This window comes from Homo sapiens, chromosome 6 (assembly GCF_000001405.40).
Source record: "Homo sapiens chromosome 6, GRCh38.p14 Primary Assembly".
NCBI classification, from domain to species: domain Eukaryota; kingdom Metazoa; phylum Chordata; class Mammalia; order Primates; family Hominidae; genus Homo; species Homo sapiens.
In genome coordinates, this window is record NC_000006.12 from 143,954,100 (window position 1) to 143,979,790 (window position 25,691).

General features: G+C 39.8%; 1 protein-coding gene across 27 annotated transcripts in view, besides 4 other annotated features; it reads right to left on the reverse strand.

Moving 5' to 3' along the window:
- PLAGL1 (PLAG1 like zinc finger 1) overlaps positions 1-25,691 on the reverse strand; it is a 124,300-nt gene that overhangs the window by 13,800 nt on the left and 84,809 nt on the right. For 5 of the 27 annotated variants that reach the window (NM_001289044.2, NM_001289040.2, NM_001317159.2 and 2 more), the window contains 3 exons: positions 14,808-14,879; positions 10,688-10,719; positions 6,370-6,443 (listed from right to left, as the gene is read on the reverse strand). The gene's annotated coding sequence lies outside the window, so the exon portion shown is untranslated. Of the gene's footprint in view, positions 1-6,369; positions 7,314-10,687; positions 11,380-11,750; positions 12,187-14,807; positions 14,880-25,691 lie in introns of those variants that run through there. The other 22 variants (NM_001080955.3, NM_001289041.2, NM_001317161.2 and 19 more) reach the window with 16 other exon arrangements.
- Positions 4,446-5,004: an enhancer, noted in NCBI's record as "OCT4-NANOG-H3K27ac-H3K4me1 hESC enhancer chr6:144279682-144280240 (GRCh37/hg19 assembly coordinates)". NCBI's record gives its function as "activates a minimal SCP1, AML or CMV promoter by ChIP-STARR-seq in naive H9 embryonic stem cells {active_cell/tissue: H9 hESC(naive)}" and the evidence as "EXISTENCE:reporter gene assay evidence [ECO:0000049][PMID:30033119]".
- Positions 10,535-11,048: an enhancer, noted in NCBI's record as "OCT4-NANOG hESC enhancer chr6:144285771-144286284 (GRCh37/hg19 assembly coordinates)". NCBI's record gives its function as "activates a minimal SCP1, AML or CMV promoter by ChIP-STARR-seq in naive H9 embryonic stem cells {active_cell/tissue: H9 hESC(naive)}" and the evidence as "EXISTENCE:reporter gene assay evidence [ECO:0000049][PMID:30033119]".
- Positions 18,722-19,306: an enhancer, noted in NCBI's record as "OCT4-NANOG-H3K27ac hESC enhancer chr6:144293958-144294542 (GRCh37/hg19 assembly coordinates)". NCBI's record gives its function as "activates a minimal SCP1, AML or CMV promoter by ChIP-STARR-seq in naive H9 embryonic stem cells {active_cell/tissue: H9 hESC(naive)}" and the evidence as "EXISTENCE:reporter gene assay evidence [ECO:0000049][PMID:30033119]".
- Positions 19,307-19,891: an enhancer, noted in NCBI's record as "OCT4-NANOG-H3K27ac hESC enhancer chr6:144294543-144295127 (GRCh37/hg19 assembly coordinates)". NCBI's record gives its function as "activates a minimal SCP1, AML or CMV promoter by ChIP-STARR-seq in naive H9 embryonic stem cells {active_cell/tissue: H9 hESC(naive)}" and the evidence as "EXISTENCE:reporter gene assay evidence [ECO:0000049][PMID:30033119]".

Consider the following 25,691-nt stretch of genomic DNA (forward strand, 5'->3'; position numbering starts at 1 on the left):
CATAAGGACAAAGGGGGTTTCCTCCAGGGGTCGCCACCTTACCCTATACAAGGCCCCAGCTGACAAGCCCCACCTAAGTATACAAAGCTCCCATCAGCTCTTTACTGGCTTGACTCACAAATTAGTAGGCCAAGGATCACCAGAAATCAGAGGAAGGCACTTAATAGGGAAAACTGACACAAAAAGTAACGGGGAAAAAAAGACTACGGGGGGAAGGAAACTTCAAAAATAATAATCATTAATATCCTAGAGAGAACAGAGGTCCTTAAAAGAAGAGCAGGATATTATTTTTTAAAGAGGACAACACCAACAAAAAGGCAGTGGCAGTGCAAGACCCCAGGGGCTGGGACAGGCATTTGAGTCAAACTTGCAAGGGGAACACTTGAGAACCCAGAGAGCATCTGAGAGTCAACACCATGAGGCAGCCTCTTATAACTCAGCTAATATAATCCAGAGACTAACATTCATTGACTAAATGGTTAAAATATGTATCATTTCACCAAGAAACATGAAAGGAGAGGAGATGATTTTTAAACTAACAAAACAGAGTATACTATCTTCATCACATGACAAAGTTACCTATTATCATTGCTTGCATGAAACATTCATGTATTAGAAGTCATGGATAATACGATACAGTAAGACAATAAACTAATGAAAGGCATAAAATTGGAATGGAATAATTATTTATTTGCAGAGGAATGTCGATATAGAAAATCCCAAAGAATCCACACACAAGATTAGAAAGCCTGGCAAGGTGTTTGATTATAAAAATCAAACTACACAAACAGCTGCATTTCTAAATATCCACAAACAGAAATATAGTTTAAATACCATCATATTAGCCAGAAAATAAAGACAGGTAACTAGTGCCCAGCCAAAGGGAAAGAGACAATATGCAAGACTGGAATCATGGACAGGATATATTCAAAGATGTGTTTCCTCAGGAATGAATGGACAGAATACAATTACATTGCTCTATAATGACATATGCATGAAAACAGATAAATAGAAGTGAAAATCATTACTAAAACTTGAGGTGGTGGTTGTCTAGGCAGTGACCATCTCTTGCTTGGGAGATCAAGAAAGGTGTCACAGAGAAGTAAAAGTTGAAGCTAGCGTAGAAGTTTACAACGTGTTCAAGAGGGAGGTGGTCTATTTCAGGCCAAGGGAATGAATCCAACCACCTGGAGAATAAGTGGTTCAGTAAGACTGGAATACAGGTGCAGATGTGGGCAAAGGAGAAAACAGGCTAGAGAGATGGAGAATCGTGAAGGGTCCACTCTACAAGGGGAAGGTGGGCTTTTTTGTCATAAATTGTTTTTAGCAGATTGATCTATTTAGTCAAGTCCAGCCACAAACTCTTGAATTTATGTGGAGATGCAGTGAGGAGGGCGGGAAGAGAAGAGGTAGAAATAGGTAGAGAATGCCAATAAAATGCTGTGAGGAATGGGAAGAGGCAGTGGGGAAAGCCTCAGCCTGTGATTGTGAGCCTCAAAGGGCCACAGAAAACTGACAAAACCAAACTACCAAGGGGAAAGGACGACCCAGGCGCTCACCACCAGGGAGCTGGGCAATGGGGACCGATCAGAAGCAGTGGACTTGCCACCAGATTTCACTTTTTGATGGTAACTCTGGCAGGGACGTATAAGACATGCTGGAGGGTGGTGGGCTGGATAATGAGATCATTTAGGCTTCTGCCAGATCTCAGAAGAGAGAACACAGGCCTGCACAAGGAGAGAGGGCAGGTTCCAGTGACACTCTGTAAACAGAATAACTGGATTAGGACTGAGGTTAGGGGAAAGAGGGAATGGTGGTGGCAGAGAGAGGTTTTCTTCTGCATCCCAGAAGAAAAACTCAGCAAAAAATAAGCGTTAGGAGTTCATTTTTAGACATGCTGGGCTTAATGGTGCCTAATGGGCATTCGGGCCAGCAAGGAGACGTGAAGCGTGGAGTGGCTCAGGAGCTCTTCTAGTCTAGGGAAGCGGATGCCTTTCTGAACCTAACTTATACAGGCGATTTTATAAGTTACTCTGAGCTTTCCATGGGTGGCCTCATATCCTGTCAGTGACTCACGTGTTCAACCTTGATCACCAATGTTTTCCTCCTAGAGTGGTTTGGTCAAGTGGGCTAGCCCTGGGGGTAAGGAGGAATTTGTTTTCTTTATGGCAGGCTGCAGCTAGACTGAGACTCCCTTAGGTCATCTACTCTGCACTGTAGCCCGGATGGAAGCAGCCTTGTGGGGGCATGGAATTCTCAGAGCTCCAAAGACAGAAGCAGCCTTCTGCCTCAAAATCCCCCCAGCTCCTCTTGGATAAGATGGTCTACTGATAGGCCTATGGTGATAAAAATGAGCAAAATGAGAATTAAGTCTGAGTTCAAAAACTTGATGTTGGTAAATAACTTCTAGATGGTGATAGTACAAACAAGATCCTAATAAACAAACAAACAAACAAACCCAAAACAAAAATCTTTTGGTTATCTCTTCTACTAGAAGAAGGTAGGCTTTTTATAGATGGGAGCTTTTCTTTGCTATATTTAGCAGATTGAAGATATCTAACCTATTGAGTCAAGCCTAGCCCCTGACTGCATCTACATGGAGATGGAGTGAGGTGGTAGAGGTAGAGGATGCCAATAAAACGTTCTCAACTGAAACAGGAAGAAGTCCAGAGAAGCTATGGAAAAGGCAAAAGCCAATGAATGTGAGCCTTGGAGAGCCACAGAGGACTGAGAGATGCTGAACTACCAAGGGGGAAGGGATGACTCTGATGAGCAGGGAGCTGGGATCTGTCACCCCAGAAGTGCTTCATCTCTCACAGGTCTGGGGCCCCTTCCACCACTGGCCTTCCTCATCCATATAGCACGGAAGCAAGGGGCTGGGACAGCCAGGATCCCCACGAAAGGGCCAAAGGCCTTCTTCCAGATGGGTCATCCAGTATAGTACCCACCAGGGGGAACGGAGGAAAAGAAATATTGTTGCAGACTCTTGGATCTTTGACAGGCCTCCTCACCTCTCCCCACCATATGCATTGTATTTTTAAATAGAAACAGTCACAAAAAAATAGACAAATGTCTACAAGTAAAATAGATGTGTGCATTGAGAAAGGCAAGGGTTAAGTCCAGGCCTGGTTCTCAAGCTGAGATGGGACTGCCTTGTTTGAAGAGGACTATTTATGAATGAAGACTCTCAGGAGTCTGGTGGGGGGGTGAGGGGTGGAGAGCAACTCCCAAAATCCAGACAAGAGCCTTTGGTATTAGGGGAAGATTTTCTAATTGTTACAGTCAGGAATGGGGATCATTCCTTTATGATAGCTGAAAATACATCCCCCTCCTCACTCCCTAGAAACCCTTGAGTCTCGCCTTTAGGCCCTTTTAGGGTCTGCTTCTATAGCTGATGGCGGTGATCTCTTTTCCTGGGACTCTTAAGTGTAGGACATGGAGGAACCAGAACTCTAATTAGCAGCAGGACCTATTATTTTTCCAATAAGGTTAACATTCAAGGGAAAGAAAAGCCTCTTTCTTTCTCAGGAAGTGTGTGAGGATATAGGCTCACATTGAGAAGAGAAATGTGAAAAGCATATTAGTTACATTGACCATGGGATGCCTGGTTTGTGAGTGAAAATCACCGGAATGACCTTGAAGGATCTGAGATCTAGAAAGGATGCTCAAGACTTGGGTGGACTGTTTGATCCTAAAATAACATATCACTAAATAAACAGAAAAAGGCCTTGAAGTACAGATAACTACATGGGAGCAGGGTATCTTGACACTGGATTTATAGATGACCTCATTGTTTATTTTTTGAATATCTGCACTTTCTAAAGTTTGATAATGACTACTTAGGCTGAGTCTAGGAGTATACCCGGTTGACAAATGGAGGAGGCATATTGCAGAGGCAGAGGGGAGAACAGAGAAGAGCTCGGAGTCATGAAGCAGCATAGGGCAATGTGGAACACGTGGTGCAGCCTGGCTGGGATGGGCAGGAGAGGGGCCTGTGTCAGAAAACCAATAACAGGGATAGTGCACCTGGCAGGGGACACTGGGTTTATCCTACAGGGAACTGGGAGCCAGTGAAAGTGAGGATGTCCCATCTACAGATGAATTGCAGAGAGGAAAAAGTTACATATAATCACTTATCCCTCCCCCATGGGTAACTCAGTTACCTGGAGAGAACAGCAGATTGAAAGGTACTGTTCTGAAATGCTAACTGGTTCTTTTTACATGAGATGAACCCAAGACCAAATCGGATTACCCTAGACACAAATTTGATGGGCAGTTTTAAAGTAACGTGCAGTAACTTTTCAAGCTCGATGTAGAAATATCCAGAACTTATAGTAAACTGTGTACATGCATGGTTATGTGAGAAAAGTGAAGCTGCTGCACCTGTTCCCAAGCTCACTCCACTTCCTCCAGAAGCATGCCTGTCTGCCTCTCGGGACACAGGCCGTACTTTATTAGACACAATTATTTCAAGAAGCTTGAGAATTTTCTCTTTGCCTTTCCATGTCATGTCCAATAAATTCAAAGGATGCAAAGCAAATTGTTCATCCAGGAATAGTTAATTTGAGAAATAAAAATATTTATCACTGGTCCTTTAAGATTATCCTGATTCTTGATTTTTTCTTTTTAAACTGATTAACATTTCATCAGGTTTCCATTTTAAAAGAAAATGGCACTGAAGAGACAAGGCAAGTTTTCCAAGCGACAACACTGGCTTTTCTGAAAGGGGAAAGGAATGTTAAGGAAATGGGGGAGAAAGCTTAAAAAGAGTGGAACACTAGCAAGCAGGGCCTCTTCTCCTTTTCACCTTAAGTCTTTTTTCTCTCCCATTCACAGCTTTAGGTCCTTTGTTTGTTTAACAAACCATTACAATCATACCCAGTTCAATGGGGGAGGAATGTGAACTCTCTGAGTAGCTGTCCTTGCAATCCACATGTGTGGTCCATCCCCCAGCTCATCCGCAGGCAGCTTTCATGTGCTGCTCTGCGCTCCCCGTCGCCCCGGAGGCCGGCACCTTGCTCACAATAAGCCTCAATTTCCCACCGCTGCCTGCTCGCAGCTCCTCCCCAGCAGCTGAGAGCAATGTCTCAAGTGGCTCTTCCTCCCCTGCTTGCCTTGCAATCATACTGTCCACCCTGCTTTGGCTGGCCCCCTTCAGCTCCTGAGACAGACAAGGCCTGCTGTGTTAGCCACACCCCACCTGTTCGCAGCCCATGGACTCGCCACTGAATACTTCGGCAGACACATTCCAGGATCTTCCTGGCTAGCACTCCTAGTCTTCTAATGTCAGGCACACTGTAAACAGAAGATACAGGCAAGACGCTCCCCCACCCCACCCCAACTCCCAGCCCTAACTAGAACTGCTAGGTCCTAGTAGATATGTTGGCCCTGTTGGGATTAATTTCAATTTCTTGGTCAATAAATCCAAATATTTAGTGACAATATTGTATTTCAGTAGGAGTCGGAATACTATTTAATAAACTATTTCAGTTGAGCTCATAAAGCTCTCTCATGCTATTCCAATAATTTCCATCTCATAGCCCTAAGAGATAGGTAGAAGGGCATCATTGTCCCCATTTCACAAATGAGGAAACTGAGGCTCAGAGGATTTAAGTTTACTGCCCATCAGCATGGACTAATGACATACTGCAAGTAATACACTGTCCTAAGCAAAACGCCTAGCACAGAGTGAGTGCCCCAAAGGCATTAGCTTCTATTAATATCATTACTGGTGATGATGATAATGATGATGAACAGAGGTTGCTCCCAGGTGTTCTGAACTAAGCCAAGTGCTCTTTCAACCTACGCTTTGCCATCCCTTCTAGCCACACTGTCTACATGAGCAGTGAAGTTCAGCAACTGCTTTACAACAGCGTTTTCAAATAAAGCCTCAGGAAGTATGGCTGGATTGCCTCATGTGGCTGGGATGCGACCAGCATCTTTCCCAGGCTTATCTTTCAGTCGACATCTGCCACAAAGACAGGACAACCTCTTACACATCTTATGTACACAAGTTAGGAGTGTTGGCAGGGGCAGCTTTCTTCTTTTGAACTGACAGGGTTGTCAGCAGAAAATTCCATAGATCTATGTGTATTACTAGGCTGTGGATGTGGGACAGCAGAGGTCATGAAAAGTTGCTAACTGCATCATCCAATTCCCTGAAACACATGTGCACTGAGCTTTAAAAAATGAAAGGGCTAAAAGAACCCTGTTCTCGGGTATTCTGCAGTTTGTGGAGGAAATGTGTTTATTTTCCACTAGAACCTTTTTGAAGTACCCTGAACCTCCAGCATGTTCTTGCCTATGATGTGTTTCCAAGCAATCGTTAATAAACATGCCCAACTAGAAATAATCTTAAAACATGCGCACCTACTGAGTGACAGGGAACATCTGCTGCGAGGCAGGGACCGAGTCCTCCCAGAAGTTTGTCTGAAGATTCAAACCTGTGAGAAGAGACCTTGTACATCGTCAGGGAATGAAGCTAGGAAAACATTCCTCCATTATGTTACCCCCTGAACTTCACTTCTAGAGCACACACACGACTGGCGATGTGCACAGGAGATTTTCTAGTGTTTTTTCATGCATTTTAATAGATGATCTTTAAACACTCATATCCTTTGTCCTACTTGCAACTGGATTAAGAAAAACTCTCAACTTTTCCCCTGCTTTATGCAAGTGGAAAAAAAAGAACACACAAAATTGCTTACATAATATATTCAGAACAGCACTCAGAGGAAATGGTATTTTTTAAAACCAACAGTATTAAAATACCATAAAACAGGTATGCAAATCTATGCAATAACAGAACCTAAAACAAATTCTGAATTGAAAGAAAGTCAGCAAATAACCAGTTGGCACTCAACAAAGGAGATTCATATAAACAAAGATTTATCAAATTTGCAGTGCAAGAAGGTTGAAGTCTCTAAGTTGAATACTGAATTAAATGGTTACTAAACCTGGCTATGCATTAGAATCAGCATGGAAAACTTTTAAAAATACAGATTCCTGGGTGGCCACAGGGCAAATCAGTACAGACTAAAACAGCATCACTGGGACCCCAGGAATTTACGTTTTTACCAAATCTACAGAAGCCAAGTCTACAGCCAGCTTTGTGCCACTGAACCCTGATGAGCATTTGGAAACCAGCATTTCCGTTCACCAAGTAATTATCAAACTTGGCTTCTTCCTACCAAGGCTATTCCAACCAACTGATCCTCTTACAGGGAAAGCTTTTCAGGATTTTCTTAACTAGTACAAAGGCAAATCTGCTATGGAACAAAGCCAATTTATATCTCGCCTAAGTGATTTATTCACTTGCCTATTTTCTTCTGTGAATTTGATCAAAAAGGCTATGTCCATTTATTTTGTATGAGAACATCCTTTTAAGTTAAAAATGGAAAAACCAAGGCCATTTTGGGACAACTGTTTTTAACGTTAATGCATCACAATACAGGAAAATACTGGAGGTGAGCAGGTTATTTGCCTGAGTCATTTAGGGAAATTGTTTCCAACATATTCCTTGTTTTGCTTGTATAAACACTTTACAAATCATCTTTATGGTCCATCTCTTTCCTCAAAATGCTCAACATTTATTGTGCTGGTTTAATTGGGTGGTCTCCAAAGGCTTGTATAAAATTTTTTTTGAAAGAGCTTTAAAAAGACATTAAAGCAAAAGAGTAAAATTCTTCCGGATGATTCTTCCTTTGCACCTACCCATCTCACAAACGGACAATACCAATTTATGTATTCAAAGAGGCAGGGGTTCTTCTGCTTCCCAGGAAAGGGTGCACATAACGTGAGGTACGCAAACCAGGCAGTGAAGTAGCTTAGCTTCATTGTCAAAATATTCAAATTATCACAAAAAGAAAGCGATTCCTTTCTGAATTCAACAATACTCCTTGGCCTCCAAGGGCTCACACAGGAGCTTATTCTTAAGCTGTTCAATGTAAGCAGCACTCGTGAAAGAGGAGAACTCTGGCAGGGAGGAGATCAAATCCCTCAGCTTTTCCCACCTGCCATCTCTGCGCCAGTCTAATGCTTAAATAGTTAACAATGCAACAGAGAGCCCAAGGCAGGCCTGGTCTGGGGGGAAAATCATGTGCAGTATATGACGATTTAATAAAGCAGAGAACAGACAGGAAAAATAACACATCTCAGTTTGACAGGATGCTACTTGCAGATTGCTTTTCAGGTCAGAATTTAGATTTCTAAAGCAGAGGGAAAAAAGGGTTTTCATACGTCAATTATTCTTTTTTAAGTATGTGGTTAAAAATGACCCTATAAAATTAAACAATCCTAAAGATAAATGTTTCCGAGTTCCAGAGTAACAAGAAGAATCACATTTTTGTGGGAGTGAAGACTGGCAGATGGTAAACAGATTAGTTAATTGTTTTAAATGAAGGGGGAAATATTTTTTGGAAAGTTTGTTTATTCGTTGATGACAAAAACCAAAGTTTCATAGAGTGTATGAGTTCCAGGATGTGTTTTTGCTGTCACAATATGTTTTTCTAGGCATTTGCTTCTGAGAACAGCATTTAAGAACCCGTCTTTTTCTCTCTTAATGAACTGGTTTAGCCGCCTGCTGGGCATTCACTGAAACCCACATTGAACAAAGGGATTTCCTTCCAGTTTCAGCTCATTCACTTCTAGCGACTCCTGGTTTTACTTAAGCAAATTCTCCAAACTGACTTTTTTATTTCTAATGATTTGAGTGGGAAAGAATTGGGCAACCCTCAAACACTGGGAAGTCTGCCCTGGTTTTCAGTGAAAGAATCCTCTAGGCTGAAGATGTACAAGGTTTGTTTTTGAAAAGCCTCTCGAATATGTTTTATTTTATTTTCCAGATGGAAAGGAGCCCACCTGATTTGGTAGATTACAGACAACTAAATCTTATTTCAGCAAGATGGATCATGGTGAACAATGAGATTATTTCTTTGAAATGAAGCCTGAGTGGGATATTCAGATTCACCTCCAGGCAATGATGTCATTTTAAAGGTGACACTGGGGGGCATGGTATGAAGGGGTTGCTGGAAGTTGGAATAGATTTGTGGGCCTGGCAGCTGGTCTTCTACCTTCTCACATTAATACATGATCTCCCTGGGGGACCCCATGCACAACCCAAGGTTACAATTACTCCTTGAAGTCAGAAGCCTCCCAAATCTCTATCTTCAATCCTGAACTTTCTTTCAAATTCCAGACTAATACATCTACCTCCCTCCCGCAGCTCTCGGGATACCTTGCAGTGCCCCTTCAAGGTCACATGGTGGGGCTTCAAACGTTAACCCACAGACTTGCTCCTCCTCCAGCACTGCCTGTTCTAGCTAATGGCACCGCTATGCAATAGCCATCAGAGCTCCCGGATCCTCACCAGGTGATGGCTACTGTTTTAAGAACTTTACCTAATACCTTCAACAACCGCATGAGTAGGTAGCATTAACCCTATTTGATTAATGGGGAAAGTAAGGCTTAGAAGTTATGCTGATTTGCCCATGATCCTACAGCCAGCAAGCAGTTAAGCTTGCTGTAGAATCCAGGGTGCGTGTCAAAAGTCAACCTCTTCCCATGTCACTTCCCAGCCTCTCCAAACTTAGAAGCTCTGCAGTCTAGATTGTTCTCAGAGATTAAGCTTTACAACTTTATTGTCTCTCAAATCTATTTCCTTCTCTTAATTCCCATAGCTACCTGCTGTTTGGGTGATGTTTTGCTTTTATTAGGGCCTCCAAATCAGCATAGCACAACAACTCCAGAATTTTACTTTGTTTGAATTCCCAATGATTCTCCTTTCTAGCTCATTTAAAACAGGTGGCAGGCTTTGTAATCCCTTGTATTTTCATCCAGCTGAAGACAGAAGCATTCTGAAGAAGTCTGTCTTTGTTAACAATATCTAAACCCAGAGAAGAAATTCTGCTGGACTTCTGGGAGGCGAGAAGGAGAAGCAGAGGAGAAGCTGCCAAAATGACACTCTCCCTTCCATCCCCCCATGGCCAACCCCCCATCCCAGGGCCTGATAAGGAGGTATGTCAGTCCCCAGCAATAGAGGCCCTGGCACCCCTCTGTTCCCTAAGGCAATGAGTAGAATCCTTGAGAAGACAGCTACGTGAAGAGTGTGCCTCGGGAGGCCAGACCTGAGGCAGGAGGTTTCCAGCCCTCACTGGCGGCCCTGGGGCAGACAGCTACAAGGATTCAATAAATCACTACTTTGATAAACTGAAGGTCAGAGGTGGGTTCCTCATCTTCCAGAGGCCATGAAAATCTCCAGGTCCTAGGACACACTCCATGGGGGAAGGGGAAGCACCTAAATCTTACTGACATGAAATTTTCCTCTAGGTTGGCAGAATGGGGACTGGAGTCCGTTTTCATTATGGGGAATGAAAACAGTAATGCTTCTTGCATAGTTGACACTCTGAGGTGAAATGCAGACTTGTGGGGCACCTCAATAAAGTGCAGAATCTTAGAACAGTGCACATCTGTGCTATAGACTAGCTACAACTGCTGGAACTGGAGCCAATCTAGTTTTCAAAAAAGGCCACCGCTTCGTTAGAGAGAGGACCATGGACTCTGCATACGCTCTGGTGACCTAGGGTGGAGGGGCGGGGTGGCGGGGAGGGCAGCAGGCTTATGCTTTAAACCCCTGAGGCAGATAGAGAAGGAAGGAAGGAAACAAGGGCAGATGTTAGAGTATACTCACAAGATTAACTCCTCTGATTCCTATGCAAATACCTAGAAAGGGAGAGACACACAAAGTTATCTTTAAGGTCTTTATCTTGAGCTCTGAATTGCTAAAACAAACAAAAACACCCAAGTGGGGGGGGAACGGAAGTCTACTTGGAAGAGGAAAGAGAGCAGCTGGTGCTGCTGGAGTCATGAGATCCAGGACACCCCCGTTTCCCAAGCCTGGATGTGCCTCCCAGGGTAGCATGCTGGCACGGAGCGGGATGGCTGATTTCCATAAGATGGAAATGATTGCATGCTGGAAACTGAGATGCTTTAGGGGAGAGAAGATCCTAACCCAAAAGAAAGGATATAAATCTTTAATGTGTCAAATTTGTTGACTGTAAGATGTTGTAGTAATGGTCAGTACTTGCAGCACCAAATGGGCACGTCTAAGGGGTCCGGGCTTTGAAATCAGTCACGTTATCCAAACAAATTCCACTTGAGTTCCGTGGCTGAATGTCTGAGACCTTCAGAAGAAGCTTATAAAGACCCTGCTGGAAACTGAAGAGGATTTTAGATACGCCAAAGATATGCCGGCCATTACGCAGAGACTAGAACTTTTAGTGCTGAGAGCTCTGGCTGGGAGAACCTCACATTCCTAAGAATCAGCAACCAAGGGACCCCATTTTTCTGCCAAATAGGCACACTATTAAATCTGATGGGCATGTCAAGGGAGAAGATGACCTGGGAAAGGAGTTGCCCAGGGAGCAAGTGCCCTGTTGCAGAGGCAGAGATTGCCAAGATGGTCTCCTTGGGGTTTGAGGCACAAAGCCCCCTCTAGCTATTTTAGTTATAAGGAGGTGGGAACGCTGTGTTAAATTGTACCCAAGAAGATAACTCACAAGGCAAGGAACACGGAAGCTAGGGTGTGTTGGGCAAGTAAGCAGAGGTTGCTTGCTTTACCGAAAGTGGGGCTGCTCTGGTCTCACAAGGGTCTAGCCTTGGTTGGCACATGCTTCCCTTGTCACACCAGACAGGTGAGACCAAGAAGGGAAGACAGAAAGAGACCCCACCACTTAACATGGGCAAATACCTACAGGAGGCTACTTTCCAATCTGTGGTGCCCAGAAACTTGGCAGGGATAGGGTGGTTGCATGGGGAGGGATGCTAGAGAATGGAGAACGAGTTCACTCTATTGGCCCAAACTCAATTTTCATGTGGCTTCCTTTAAACAAACCACAAGCTTAGTGAGTCAGTTAGGTCAGTGTAGAGAGATATTTCCGCATGCTAGAGGCAGATCCATATTGGTTCCCCAGTCTGTTTTTGGACGGTTCCCCTTCATTCTAATCACAATGCTGCTGCCAGGCTGATTCTTCTAACATGCAAATATGTTCCTGTCACTTGCCTGTTTGGAATTCTTCAATGGTCCCATTAGGTTTCTGTCGACTGCAACGAAAAGTCTTGTCTAATCAGAACCACTGAAAGTTGTTAATCAGGAGAGCAATATGTTCAGGCTTGTGTTATAGAAAGAAACTGAGAGAGCAGACATACAGATTATCCTCCTGGATTTATCAGTTATATACATTAAAATGGCCAAACAGTAATTCAAATAGCAAAACAAACAAAAAACCCAACTGTGCACACACACACACCAAAAAATAAGTACAATAACTGAACTCTGAAGTTCAGTATAAAACTGTTCACAGAGCATTCTAAATCTTCCCTGACTCAGCACAACATCTTTGTGCACTCTGATTTGAATATGTGGGGCAAATGAGAACCATTTTAGGGAAACAACATAAGATGACTATGATCTTAATGCGGTTTCAATTTACATGGTGATTGTGTGTTTTATGAACCACCTCTAATTCCTACTGCTGGAACAAAAAGGGAAAAATTACCTTGGTAAATGCCACATCATGGATCAATTAAGTTATTCCCCAAATAAAGTATTCTTTGTTATAGTATAAGCATGCATAATTTCTAGCATTTTAAACATTGATAGAGAAATTATTTTCTTTTCTAATTTTAATATTTAACACTCCTATGTTATGATCCCCGCCTCCCTTCATCCCCCACTGCTTTCATTTTAATTTTTTGTTTGTTCATGGAGGGAAGTAAGGAAATTTTAATGATATTCCTTAGATAATACATTTTCTTACCTAAAAGTGGTACAATAATGGGTTTTACTCTACCTCAGTCCACTATGCAGCATGCATACTCTACTTAATACTAGGTTGTGTTCCTACAGTTAGTTAAAAAACCAACCAGCTGGTAGTATTTTTTTAGATCCAACCTAAGAAAGACAGTGTGGTCTAGTGTAGAGGGCACTGGCTTTGGAGTCAGATGGGTCTAAGTTCGAATGCTGGCTCTGCTGCTTGGAAGGTGTGTAACTTTAGGTAAGTTGCATAACTTCTCTAAGCCTCAGTCTCCGTCACCATAAAATGGGGATATCTATGTATCTTGCAGAGCTGATATACGGTTATGCGTTACACGTGTACATACAGAGGCAAAGTACATGTACGAAGTAGATGTGGCCTGTGAATAAGTGTTAGGGCCAATTTTACACGATGGGTAAGCTCACAATTAGGAAACATGAATAACTTCTTTTGGAGTAATATATATATATAATGGAAAGTCAGAGTATAAATAATGGATTCACTTCAATCATGTTTCTTTAATGTGGATCATCATGACACAATTCCATCTCCTAGCATGTGTTTATAAAATAAATTTCTATTATCCCTGTGCTTTCACATTTTCTCATATATTTGAGAAATTCCTAGATTCTTAAGCAGTGTAATCCTATTTAATGTGCTGTTAATGGCAATATCATGTTTAACTAGAGAAAACAGTTACAAATGGGCCTGGCATGAACTAGTCCTACAGGTGCCATAAAGCTACCCAAATGGTATAATGAAGTGATGAGGGCATTTGGGGATTCTGCTACATTTTTTTCCTTCTGAACGTGTTGGTGGGGGTAGTGGACTAGTTTTAATTAGAATCGTTTGGAGAACAGGAATCCAAGCACACGACCTAATATTCTCCTAGTTAGCCTTCGGCCTGAGGCAGCTGTGGACAGCCTTCCTAGAAGTCAGTCTCAAGACAAAGAATAGAGCGGGAAGTGGTTTATCTAGTGGGAGGTTTGCAGGGGGAATTGAATGTAAGATGGGATATAAGAAAACTTACAAAAACAACTGGAATTTTTAAAAAATACACCATTATGACCATCAAGGACATTTTGCAAAAAAAAAAAAAAAAAAAAACAGTCTGGAGAGAGGCCAAGAGTTATGGTTAAGCAACAGCACTGCAGCTGCAAAAGAAGTGAGGGCTGCTTTAGGGTGACATGGCCTTGAACCTAGAATTAATGTATGGGACAGGGAAAAACAACAAACATGTTAGATATGAAATTTAAGGCTGGGATTTGGAATCATTATCTTGAAATAGGCAGTTCAAACAAATCCTAATCTTTACATGAGTGATAGAAAATAAGAAATAAAAACTTCTGATGTATAATGGGGACCCTGCCAACCATGAATTCCCTCAAATAAACACTGGTTGAGTGACATAACCTATTTCACAACTCTAGAAAATTTGGCAAGCTGAGAATCATCTCATATTATGATTTTAGGAGAGTGGTTTAGAGACTCTGAATTGTAACATACGTTACATTCTAGATATCTGATTCTAAATGGTGGACCCTACCTCAGTTTTTTTTTTCCTAATATTTCTTTAAGATAAAACCATTTAAAAACATCTTTTTAAAATATAACAGAAAGAGATCACGAAGTTTCTAGTGAGCAAGTCATGATAAGTAAAAATCAACTGTACAATGCCCATGATTTCTAATTTAAGACAGATAAATAGCAATGATCGTTCTTAGCGTGTCCTCTTGAATTTTTAGAGTGAAAAACAGGCTTTCATTAAGTCCACATCTTAATCCCCCAACCTTATTTTCCCCCTCAAGGCCTGAAGTTCCTCAAATGTAAATTCTCTCACAAAGTCTTTTCTGGGACATAAGCCCCTCTACCATGGAGGAGGCGAAGGCTCTGGTTTGTGCTGTAATGCGAGGAGAGAATAAGAATACAGAGCCATGACTGATGGCAGGAGCACTGGGGGGCAGGAGTTGGAGGGTTCCGCATAGACGTATTTACCTTTCTAAGTGAGGTACAGATGAGTTTCAGATGTGACACGAGGCAGCAGCCACATTAGACGTGACAGCAATCCTAAAGGAAAAACAATATCAAAAGTTTAAAAAAAAAAAAAGCATCAAGAAAAAACACATTGGTACTATGAATGCTGACATTTACCTAATCAGAATATGAGTTCAAGGATACCAGGGGTCAAAAATCTCTCTCCATCGACATGCTATGCTATAATGCCATATCCCAGCATTCCAGAGGCACCCATTTGAGTCCTTAAGGGATCTTTAGTTTTAGAGAGGCTATACAGTGATGTGGTTAAGACCACAGTATGGTGCCAGAAAGCTTAGATTCCAATCTTGGTGCCACCTGGAGCCACTTAGAGACCTCATGCAATTGGTTTTCTCTCTCTACCTCAGCTTCCTGTCCTGTAAAATGGAGATAACGATTACACCCACATCACAAGACCCTTTTGAGAATTAAATAAACTAATTTGAGATAAATGCTTGACACTGTCTGGTAAGCAGGGAGTATTCATGTATTTGTATTTATTTTTCAGAGACCCCAAGTAAAAATACAGCCTCAAGCAGAAATTACAAAATACTCATGGCTGGGCACAGTGGCTCACACTTGTAATCCCAGCATTTTGAGAGGCCAAGGCAAGAGGAATGCTTGAGGGCAGGAGTTTGAGACCAGCCTGGGCAACATAGCAGGACTCAATCTCTACCAAAAAAAAAAAAATTTTTTTTTTAAGTCAGAACCTTTTTAAGAGCGTCAACTAAGAAGAACACTATTCCTTTGGGTAAGGGAAACAAGAACCTCAGCAGGGATGAGGGTGAAGAGGGGGAGGGAAGAAAAAGCCACTAAAAGGCAAAATATGGGGGAAAAAAACACCCCACTTTGGCTTAACTTCAATTTTTTTTTTTTAAAGTCAAGACCACTATTATCAGCAGAGGCCTGGAGAAAAGAATTTGCTGTGCAGACCCAATCATTCACCTTGAGATAAGGAAAAGGACAGAAACTGGACAGCAAATGATGAGAGGGCAGCAGCAAAATGTTTACAGACTGAAAAGAGATGGAAATATAGCTTTCAGTGAAAATAATGAAGACAGGAAATAGATCAATAACTTAAACCCATCAACCCTCACCTCCACAGATATAAATTCATTACTGATTAGCAGTGCAATCCAATTGGATGAATACTTGAGCACCAACCCTAAGTAACCTCCTTCTCTGAGTAGCCCACATTTGTGCCTTGACCAAAAAGGCTGCTGTTGTATGTGTTTTTAAAATAACGAAACCATATCAATTTGAATCTTACTAATGCAAAAGGCATAAACTTTTAGGTATAAGCTGAGTTTGGGTTTTTCCTCCTGAATTGAGGTTTTTCCTTGCAGAAAAATGTCTCACTAAAGAAGGCAATATGTAATGTTGCAAAGTAAACATTTAAACTACTGAAAATATACTAAGTATTTTAACAACCTCATTAACATACAAATGATTAACTACAAATGATTAGGTATCTAATTATTACAGATGATCTTTATAATAGTCATATCTGATCTTATACAACTGACACATTATTTAATTTTAGATAGTTCTGTATTTCAGAATAGCTTTCTTGCAACTAAATCTAGTGGGTAAGGAGGATGTCTTGTTTTCAACGGCTAGATAAACGTTTATTAGGGCTGCTTTATTTGGTCAGTCTGGGTGGACGGGAAACTGTCTAAGAGGGAAATATCTGGTATTTTTCTACTAGGAAGTTAGCTTACGTAGATTAACACACATGTAAACACAGAGACATAACATATGTCCATCCCCAAACCTATTTTGAGGGTTTCTCTTAAGTTACTTGAAATTCTTCTTCTTGGATATTACAGCAGTCTTCAGTCTGAAGAAAAAGGCTCTTTTCTGAAGAATCACATAGTTGAAGTTATCTGATTCTATAAGCATAGCAAGACCACAATTTTTAACTGCAGTTACTTCCCTGGCCTGTCTGTAGTTCTTTTTTATTAATGTAGACAAAGATATGCCTCACTGCTGAAAGCTGAAACATCAAATGGAAAAGTGCAGTTTGATTTCCTACATTTCCCTCCACTCTCTGCCTCTCCCTACTTTGGTATTATGTCACACAAAATTACTTCCAGAAACTGGGAGGGTTGAGCAGCCAAGTTATGAAATCTAAGTGCTATGCTTAATGCTTTTTTTTTTTATCTTCAAGTTAATACTTATGAGGGTGAGAGTCTACCAATGATCAAAGTCATGGTAATTTTTCTGTTTCATGAGAAATCTAAAATCTCAGAATCACATCCCGCTGACCCGACGTTATTTGTACAACCCATACAAATGCCCCTTCCTCTACGAGATTCCTCCCGCAATTCACAAATGTGTAAACCTCTATTTTAAATTTTACCTCTACCATTAATCAAAACAGAAGTGCAAATAAGTTTCCTTAAAAATAATCTTGGTAGTGAACATAAAACAAAAATAACATGGAGAGTAAAGTATTAGCCCGTTCCTGTACTTGTCTGCTTACTTACTCCCTCCTACAACACTTTCTAAAAATTTCCATTATGATTTTAAGATGTTATTTTCCCAATAAATGTTGACAACAATTTCCCACTTCCAGCTCTGGCTTTAAAAAGAAATAGGTTATAAGTTGAGAATAGCTAAGAAATTGGGTTTGTCCCAGTGTTCTGTGAAATCAGACTAGTCAGTGCTTCAGAATCAAAATTTCCCTTAGACTTTTCACTAAGAAGCAAAGCTGTTTGTTTGCCTTTTCTGATAAGGAATTCAAAACATGCAATGGTAGTAAATCTGGTTAAAGAAATTGTCAAGGGAGGTTTTGACTTTTGCTATTATTTAACATTACATCATAGAATTAAATCATGTAAAATGGCAGCCTTATCCATCTCAATCACTAAATTCGGTCAAGTAAAAGTCTACAAAATTCTAAATGAAAAGTTTTTTCATCTCATTAATGGAAATATCTAAACATTACGTTGTGGTTTATTTTTAGGAAAGAATAACAGAGAAGAGAGCTTGGATCTGAAAAGAAAAATGCCACACACTGGTGATGCTTCCTTCTAGAGGCTGTGGACTGCCTGACAAACTTGCTAAAGCAAAAAAGGGCATAATAGTTCTCTGCAGAGGAAGAATTTTAAAAAGCAATAGCAACAATCAGGTAACAGCAGACCAATCAGGTTCTCCCAAAATTTAGTATTTGCAGTTGAAACTGTGATAAGTAATTACTTTCAAAGGAATGTAGACAGAGCCATCAATCCCCATTCATTCAGCTCGCATTTACCGAGCCAAGAGCTCTGCTAGGCTTGAGATATAAAAATGAATACAACACAGCTGCTTTACTTCCAGCTAAAAGAATACACCTAAATAAAGAGCTACAGGGCCATGTGTTAAGTGCCATAATAGAGGTGTACACAAAGGGCTGGGGGCCAAAGGAAGAAGCCATAAATTCTTCCTGGGAAATCAAGCAAGTGAGGGGAGATGTGAAAGAAGGTATCTCAGAGATGTTTCCTTGTGATAATCTCAAGACTTTTTCTTTAGTGTGTTCTAAAAAGGTGGTAATTTTAAGATTTATCAACTATTATAATGTCAGGCGCTAATCTTGGTCTGCTAGCCAGTTTCTGTTTGACACACACTTCCAGTTACAATATCCCAAGAATATAAATATTTTAAAATAAATATATTATTGTAATATTCCCATGCAATACACACAATCCAGAATGGCATGAATCACTGGCTTGAGTGGAACGTAGCTTCCAAGTTCAAAGATGTTTTAAAATATAATGAATGAAAGATGGATTTTAGAGAGTTTCATATAATATCAATAATGCTTACTGTATCACTGTTTTCTTTCCTCTCAAGGCAAAAATAAAAGAATCACCTGATTGTATCATGGTTAATATTTGTTTTACTCTACTTCTGTGTTTAAAAAAAGAGGGCGGGTGGAGAATCAACTTCTACTTAACATCATTTATTATGCAGACCATATTCCTACTTATAACATAGTTGTGACAAAACCTCCATTGTTCATTACACACTAGCCCCAAACTTGAGTAATTCTAATGTAAGCATGAGAAACTCCCGTCTCCTTTGGGGTGAATTTCCCAATTCCTCTGTGTTAAATTGAGGTCTAATTTTCCCTGTGCCTGGTTTTCACAAGAAGGTCCATTCCACCCCATGTGCTCCTTTTCAGCTGTCAATAAACAGAGGCAGTGAATTCCCCACGGCTTCACAAAGCTAGTTAGGCAGAGCCATTCATTCCTTCAGGAAAACAGGGCATTGATTTCAGCGAGTTCCCAGGGAGCAGCTGCAACAAAGAGATCAAAGGCCCACCTCTCTTTCCCTCCATTGCTTTCATTAGGCCCAGCCCAGACAAACAGCGACAGGTTTCCTTGAGACAAGGAGAGGGCTCAGCAGACCACCTCATGGTTTAATTCAAATTCATCCGTTTCCTACATTCCAGTGACAGTTCAGAATGCTAACCATGACAAACCAGCACAATCACCCAGCATAATATACTGCTCGCTAGTTCATCCAAGGTCAGAGGGAGAAAACAAGCACGGGGGGAAGTCCTCTGCTTCTAGGGCCTGCTGAGCTTCAATGGCCCCCTGACATTCCATAAATAAACTTCTCCCTCTCACTCTCCCTTTCTTCCTCCATCCTACAACCCTACAAGCGATAGTCTCACTGAACAATCTGCAACTTCTTTCATGTCACCGTACCCAAACTATATGGAAACTTTATTCTCAATCGAATGGTTCGTTCTAATAGCCAGAGGAAGATGGCTATACACGCAGCCTCTATTAGTTCACTGCTGTGCTAAAGCCAGTCGGCTACACCCAATAAGCTACTACAACGTGATGAATTCAGAGCTGCAGTTTCTAGGGTTACCTTAGTAAGGGGTGATCTCCAGAGCTGCAGTTTCTAGGGTTACCCTAAGGGGTGATCTCCAGAGAAAGCAACACAACTTAAAGATGGAGTTAGTTTGCATAAATTCTGTTTGTACAACAAAAGTGTGAACAGAGATATAACAGGTTTTTTTGGATCCAGGTAATCACCCAAACTGGGTAATCCAAGCTCCTGTGTATAAATGAGTTGTGTGTTTGTTGGGGTGAGGATGGTTAGTCAAGGAGAGAGGAGAGAGCAAGAGGGACTATGAAAGAAAATGAATTACTCTGACTGGTTACCTACACGGAACAAATATAACTAAGAGGTTTCCAAATTCACCATTGAATTCTGAATTGCTTATTTCACACCTTCATGGAACCCTATAACAAAATGCCTTCATTTCATTGTGCTCCGTTCCATTTGTCACTAATCCTGAGTACACATGGGAATCGATGGGTTAAGTTTCAAAATTGTGAAACCAAAAAGAAAATAAACAATATTGGAACGAAAGGTATGAACCCACTCGGTGAGGCAGAACACAACCTTCCCACGTGCCCACAGGCATCAGTACTGATCTCGGTGGTGGGGTTGCGGGGGAGGTCACCAGTGACCTCCAGGGCCATCTATTCACCAATTACTCACCTTGGACTGTCAAAGATGCTATTTTGTATAGAGAGCTGAACAGCCCTCAAGGAGAAAAGACATTCCCTTATATTCAAATTAGGACAGAAATGGACTTTGCATATACAGAACTCTCAACTGCACAGGAAAGGTAGCTTGTGACAAAAATGGTGTGACAATTAATTAGGAACCTTAAAGCTAACTCTGGCATTGACTTGCTTTGGGCCTAGGGGACACATTTAACCCCTCTGTCTTCCCACTCTTCCAAAATCACGACAGAAATATCTGTGAATTCCTTGACGCAGTACTATGAAATAACCATTCCTCAAAAACTATGTATCTCATCAAAGAAACCTAGGCTTATGAGTAGAACTTCCTTATATAATGATCACCCTGTAACTCAGTAGAGGTTCTCTGGAAACTTGCTACATTTCTATAAATCAAATTGTTTTTTAAAAGCACTCAGGAAAAATACTACTGAAAGAAAGTCTTTGGCAAATGACCAAAAACACTTATCAATCCATTTACGTATCTTTCAAAAGCATTTACAAAACACTGAGAAACATTATCCATTGGATCTCTGCCACAACCACCTGAGAGAGATGGTTTTATTAATCTATTTTTGAATGAGGAGATAATAGGCTCAAGAGAGGTAAATTGACTTGCCAAAGTCATAGAACTAATAATCAGCAGTTAAAACTTTAAATTCAAGTATTCTATCTTTGAGTCTCATGCTGTTTCCATTACACCAGCTACCATGTACTGGGGATATAATCATTCACTGGAGTTCTCTCACCAAGGTTATATTAAATAAGTCATCCTAGTTTTTGAGGCCAATGGGTTGTACCACTTCCATTCAATGAGGTAGTTGCTTAAGAGTATGGACTCTGGAGTCAGATCTGTATTTAAATTTTAGTGTCACTTTGTAATAATTTTATAAATTAAGCAATTAACAATATTTTTGGAACCTTAGTTTCCCTATTTGTAAAAGAGGAATAATAACCTCACAGGGTTTGTGGAGGATCAAATTAGATAACTAATATAAAGCTCCTAAAACAGCATTGGCATACAGTGAAAGATCAATAATTATAGCTATTATCAATGCTGAAAATCAAAACAGTGTAAACTTGTTAAAAGGAAAAATTTCTTTTAAAGAAAAAGACATAAAATTTAACATTCAGTCTCTAGATTGCATGATTCCTTGCATTAAAAGTTTAGCCTTCAAATCTAGGATTTTATGGGGGACAACTAATGAACCAAGATCAAACTATTATAAAAGAGAAAGAAGCTACTTTACAAAACAGAAACACTAATTGAAGTGTCGTTTTAAAAGGCTAATTGAGGCAAATCCTTGCTACTATAAAGCAGCAGTGTGGTTTTTCTGCACAATTCAGCTTTACTTCTTGCCACTTAGCCATTTCGAGTAGAAATGTATTGGTAAAAGAAGAAATTCACAGACTGTTACCACTTGAAGAGAAAAATACACACAGGGATATCTGTTGTCTGTAGATAGTGCTTTCATGTTTTCAAAGAACTAACACATATCTTACTTCGTTGACCCTCACATTACTAAGAGAAAACAGATTAATTATGTAGCACAAGAGAAGACTGCCAGTGGTAAACAGCAAACCTTATTTTTTATTCCTTGTCTCATTTTTTCATGACACCCTATTACTGGGCGGTGGCATAGAGATGCCACAGTACAGAGTGTACAGAATACTGTGGGAAGACAGAGGCCACTAAGACTGAGAGAACCAGAAAAGGCTTTGCAGAGAAGGTGACATTTATCCAACCTTTTATCTAGTACAGACGTACTTCTGGAATATTCCTGGTCGCCCTTGAGCCTGAGATTTCTTTTCTTTTTTTTTTTTTTTTTGGTGAATTCTGAATATCTCACTTAGTGATTTAGTTCTCCTTATACTGCTTTTTGTTCACTTGAAAACCTAAATGGATGTCCTCACCTCCTTTTAAAAATTTCATCCAAGGCCTTGATATTAAAGAGGCAGGAGCTGAAGCCACTCTTGTTTGACTTAATAATATCAATACCTAAGGCACCTTCTCATTCTACAGTTCTGTGACTTTTAAAATTACTGCTTATTCTTATATTGCATTACCTACTATACAACACATCACTTGAAATGTGCAATTTACTTCCTGTTAATATTTTAAAATATTTTCTTCATTACCATTTATATCAGAAACAGTTTAAAAGAACTCTTATGAATATCTAAAGGAATATGTCTTGCTAAAGAAACTCAGCCTAGAGCTGGTGAAGTATGACAATTGTTTCTATCCTAAGAGCCGGGTTCCTTTTTGTAAGTAACCACCCCTAATTCTATCTTCTCTCACAACATGAAAGAAACACATTTTTTAATGAAAGATGTTCAGACATTTTGAAGATGATTATGACAATCTCTGATGAGTTATTAATTTGAGACCATTCTTCTCTTCTAACATAGACATGTAGTGCTACAAATTCCTGTCTAAGCATTGCTATAAGTTGCATCTTAGTCACTTGAAAATATGGTTTCATTTTCATTCAGTTCAAAATATTTTCTAATTTCCTGTTCGATTTTTTTAAAATAGGCTACTTTTTAGAGAAGTTTATGTTCACAGCAAAATTGAGCCTGTTACAGCAATTTCCCATATACTCCCTTCCCCCCCCCCAACACACTTAGCCTTCTCCATTATCGACATCCCCCACTAGAGTGGTACATTTGTTACAACTGATAAACTTCCATTGACACATCATTATCACCCAGAATCCATGGTTTAGAGTTCACTCTTGGTGTTGTACATTCTATGGGTTTGAAAAAATTTATGACAGTTCTCCATCATTATAACATCATACAGAGAAGTTTTGCCGATCTTTTTACTGTCTAGTTTTGCATTTTCTAAAATGTCATATAGTTGAAATTATATAGTATGCAGCCTTTTGAGACTGGCTTCTTTTACTTTAGTAATACACATTTAATTTTCTTCCATGCCTTTTCATGGCTTGATAGCTCACTTCTTTTTTTTTTATTTTTTTCTTCTTCTTCTTCTTTTTTTTTTTTTTTTTTTTTGAGATGGAGTCTGGCTCAATCGCCCAGACTGGGGTGCAGTAGGGCAATCTCGGCTCACTGTAACCTCCACCTCCCAGGTTAAAGCAATTCTCCACCTCAGCCTCCCGAGTAGCTGGGACTACAGGTATAGTCTGTATACCTGAGATTACAGGCGCCCACCATCATGCCAGGCTAATTTTTGTATTTTTAGTAGAGACACAGTTTCACCATGTTGGCCAGGCTGGTCTCGAACTCCCAACTTTCAGTGATCCACCCATCTCGGCCTCCAAAGGTGCTGGGGTTATAGGTGTGAGCCACTGCACCCGGCCAGCTCATTTCTTTTTGGTGCTGATTGATTTCGTTTGTGTCACACTGGCTGGCTGGTAGAATTCACCAGTACAACCATCTGGGTCTGCTGTCTAGAAGCTGTTTTAAGTTTATATGTGTATTTCAAGGAACTAGTCTATTTTATCTAATTTATCAAATATGTGAGTGAGAGCTTATTTATACTATTCTCTTACTAATCCTGTATTTTATCCATGGGATTAGCAGAATAACACCTCTTTCATTCCTAATATTGGCAATTGGTGTACTCATTTTTCCTTGGTTGCCTGGCTAGAGATTTATCATTTTACTGATCTTTTCAAAGAACCAGCTTTTTATTTTGTTGATTTTCTCCATTGTTTTCCTGTTTTCAACTTTGTTGATTTCCGCTCTAATTTTCAGTATTTACTTTCTTCTGCTCACTGCAGGTTTAATTTGTTTCTCTTTTTCTAGTTTCCAAAGGTGGAAACTGAGGTTATTGATTTTAGGTTCTTTTTCTTTTCTAATACATCATTTAATGCTACAAATTTTGAAGCACTGTTTCAGCTGTATCCCACATGGTTTCATAAACTGTATTTTCATTAAAATTAAAAATATTTAAACATTTTTCTTGAGATTTTTCTTTGATCCATGGGTTATTTAGAAGCATACTGTTTAATTTCCAAATATTTGGAAAATTTCCAGCACTTTTTTCAGTATTAACTTTTAGTTTAATTCTGTAGTCTCAGAAAGTATTTTGTATGGTTTCTATTCTTTTAAATTTGTTAAGATGTTTTCAATGTCTCAGGATGTGCCCCTGGGTTATTTGGAAGTGTGATGTTCAGTTACAAGATATTTTTCCAGATTCCTTTCTAATTTAATTCCATTATGGTCAGTGAACACTCTTTGTATGATTTAAATCCTTCAGAATTAATTGACTTATTTTCCCACCCAGAATATGGTCTATCTTGAAAAATGTTCTGGCTATGCTTGGAAAAAGTGTGCAGTTTGCTGTTGAGTAGCGTTCTATAAACGCCAATTAAGTCAATGTGGTTGATAGCACTGTTCAAGTCTTCTATAGCCTTCTTGGTTTTCCAACTACTTGATCTATTATCTATTGAAGGAAGGGTGCTGAAATCTGACCACAATTGTGAATTTGTCTATTTCTTCCCATGTATACTGAAATTATTTTACTAGGTGCATAAACATTTAAGATCATTTATTCTTGATGAGTTCACCACTTTATCATTATGAAACAACTCTATTTATCCCTGGTAATATTCTTTGTTCTAATTTCTACTTTGTCTAATATGAATACAGTCACCACAGTTTTAAAAAATCAGTGCTAAAAATGATATTTTTTTCATCCGTTAGCTTATAATCTATTTGTGTCTTTACACATGAAGTGCATTTTTTTGTAGGCAGCATATAGTTAGTTCTCAAAGCGTTTTGTATGTATTAAATCTGACTGTGAACAATCAATTGAGGTAACTCATTACCTTCAGACTGGCCAATATGTGTATTAAATCTGACATTCTTTGCCTTTTAATTATGACAGTTAGACCATTTATGCTTAACATGCTTACTGACATGATTAGGCTGAAATGTACGATCTTGTTATTTGTTGTCTAATTGCCTCAATTATTCTTTGTTCCTTTTCTTTCTTCTTTTGAATTGATTATTTTTCTCTAGTTTTATCTCCTTTGGCTTATAACTATGTTTTGATATCTTCGTGGTTGCTGTAGAGTTTATAGTTATATCTTTAACTTACCATGGTGTACTTCCAAGGGATATACCAGTTCATGTAGAGTATAAAAACTTTATAGTTATATTTTTCCTCACCTGACCTTTGTGCAATTATTGTTGTAACTTTTGCTTTTATATGTTATATACCCCATTTGCTATTTTTGTTTAAACCATCTTTTAAAAAATATTAATAATAATCATCATCGTATGTATTTATTTACCTAGGTGGTTGCCATTTCTGGTGCTCTTTACTGCTATCTGGCATTATTTT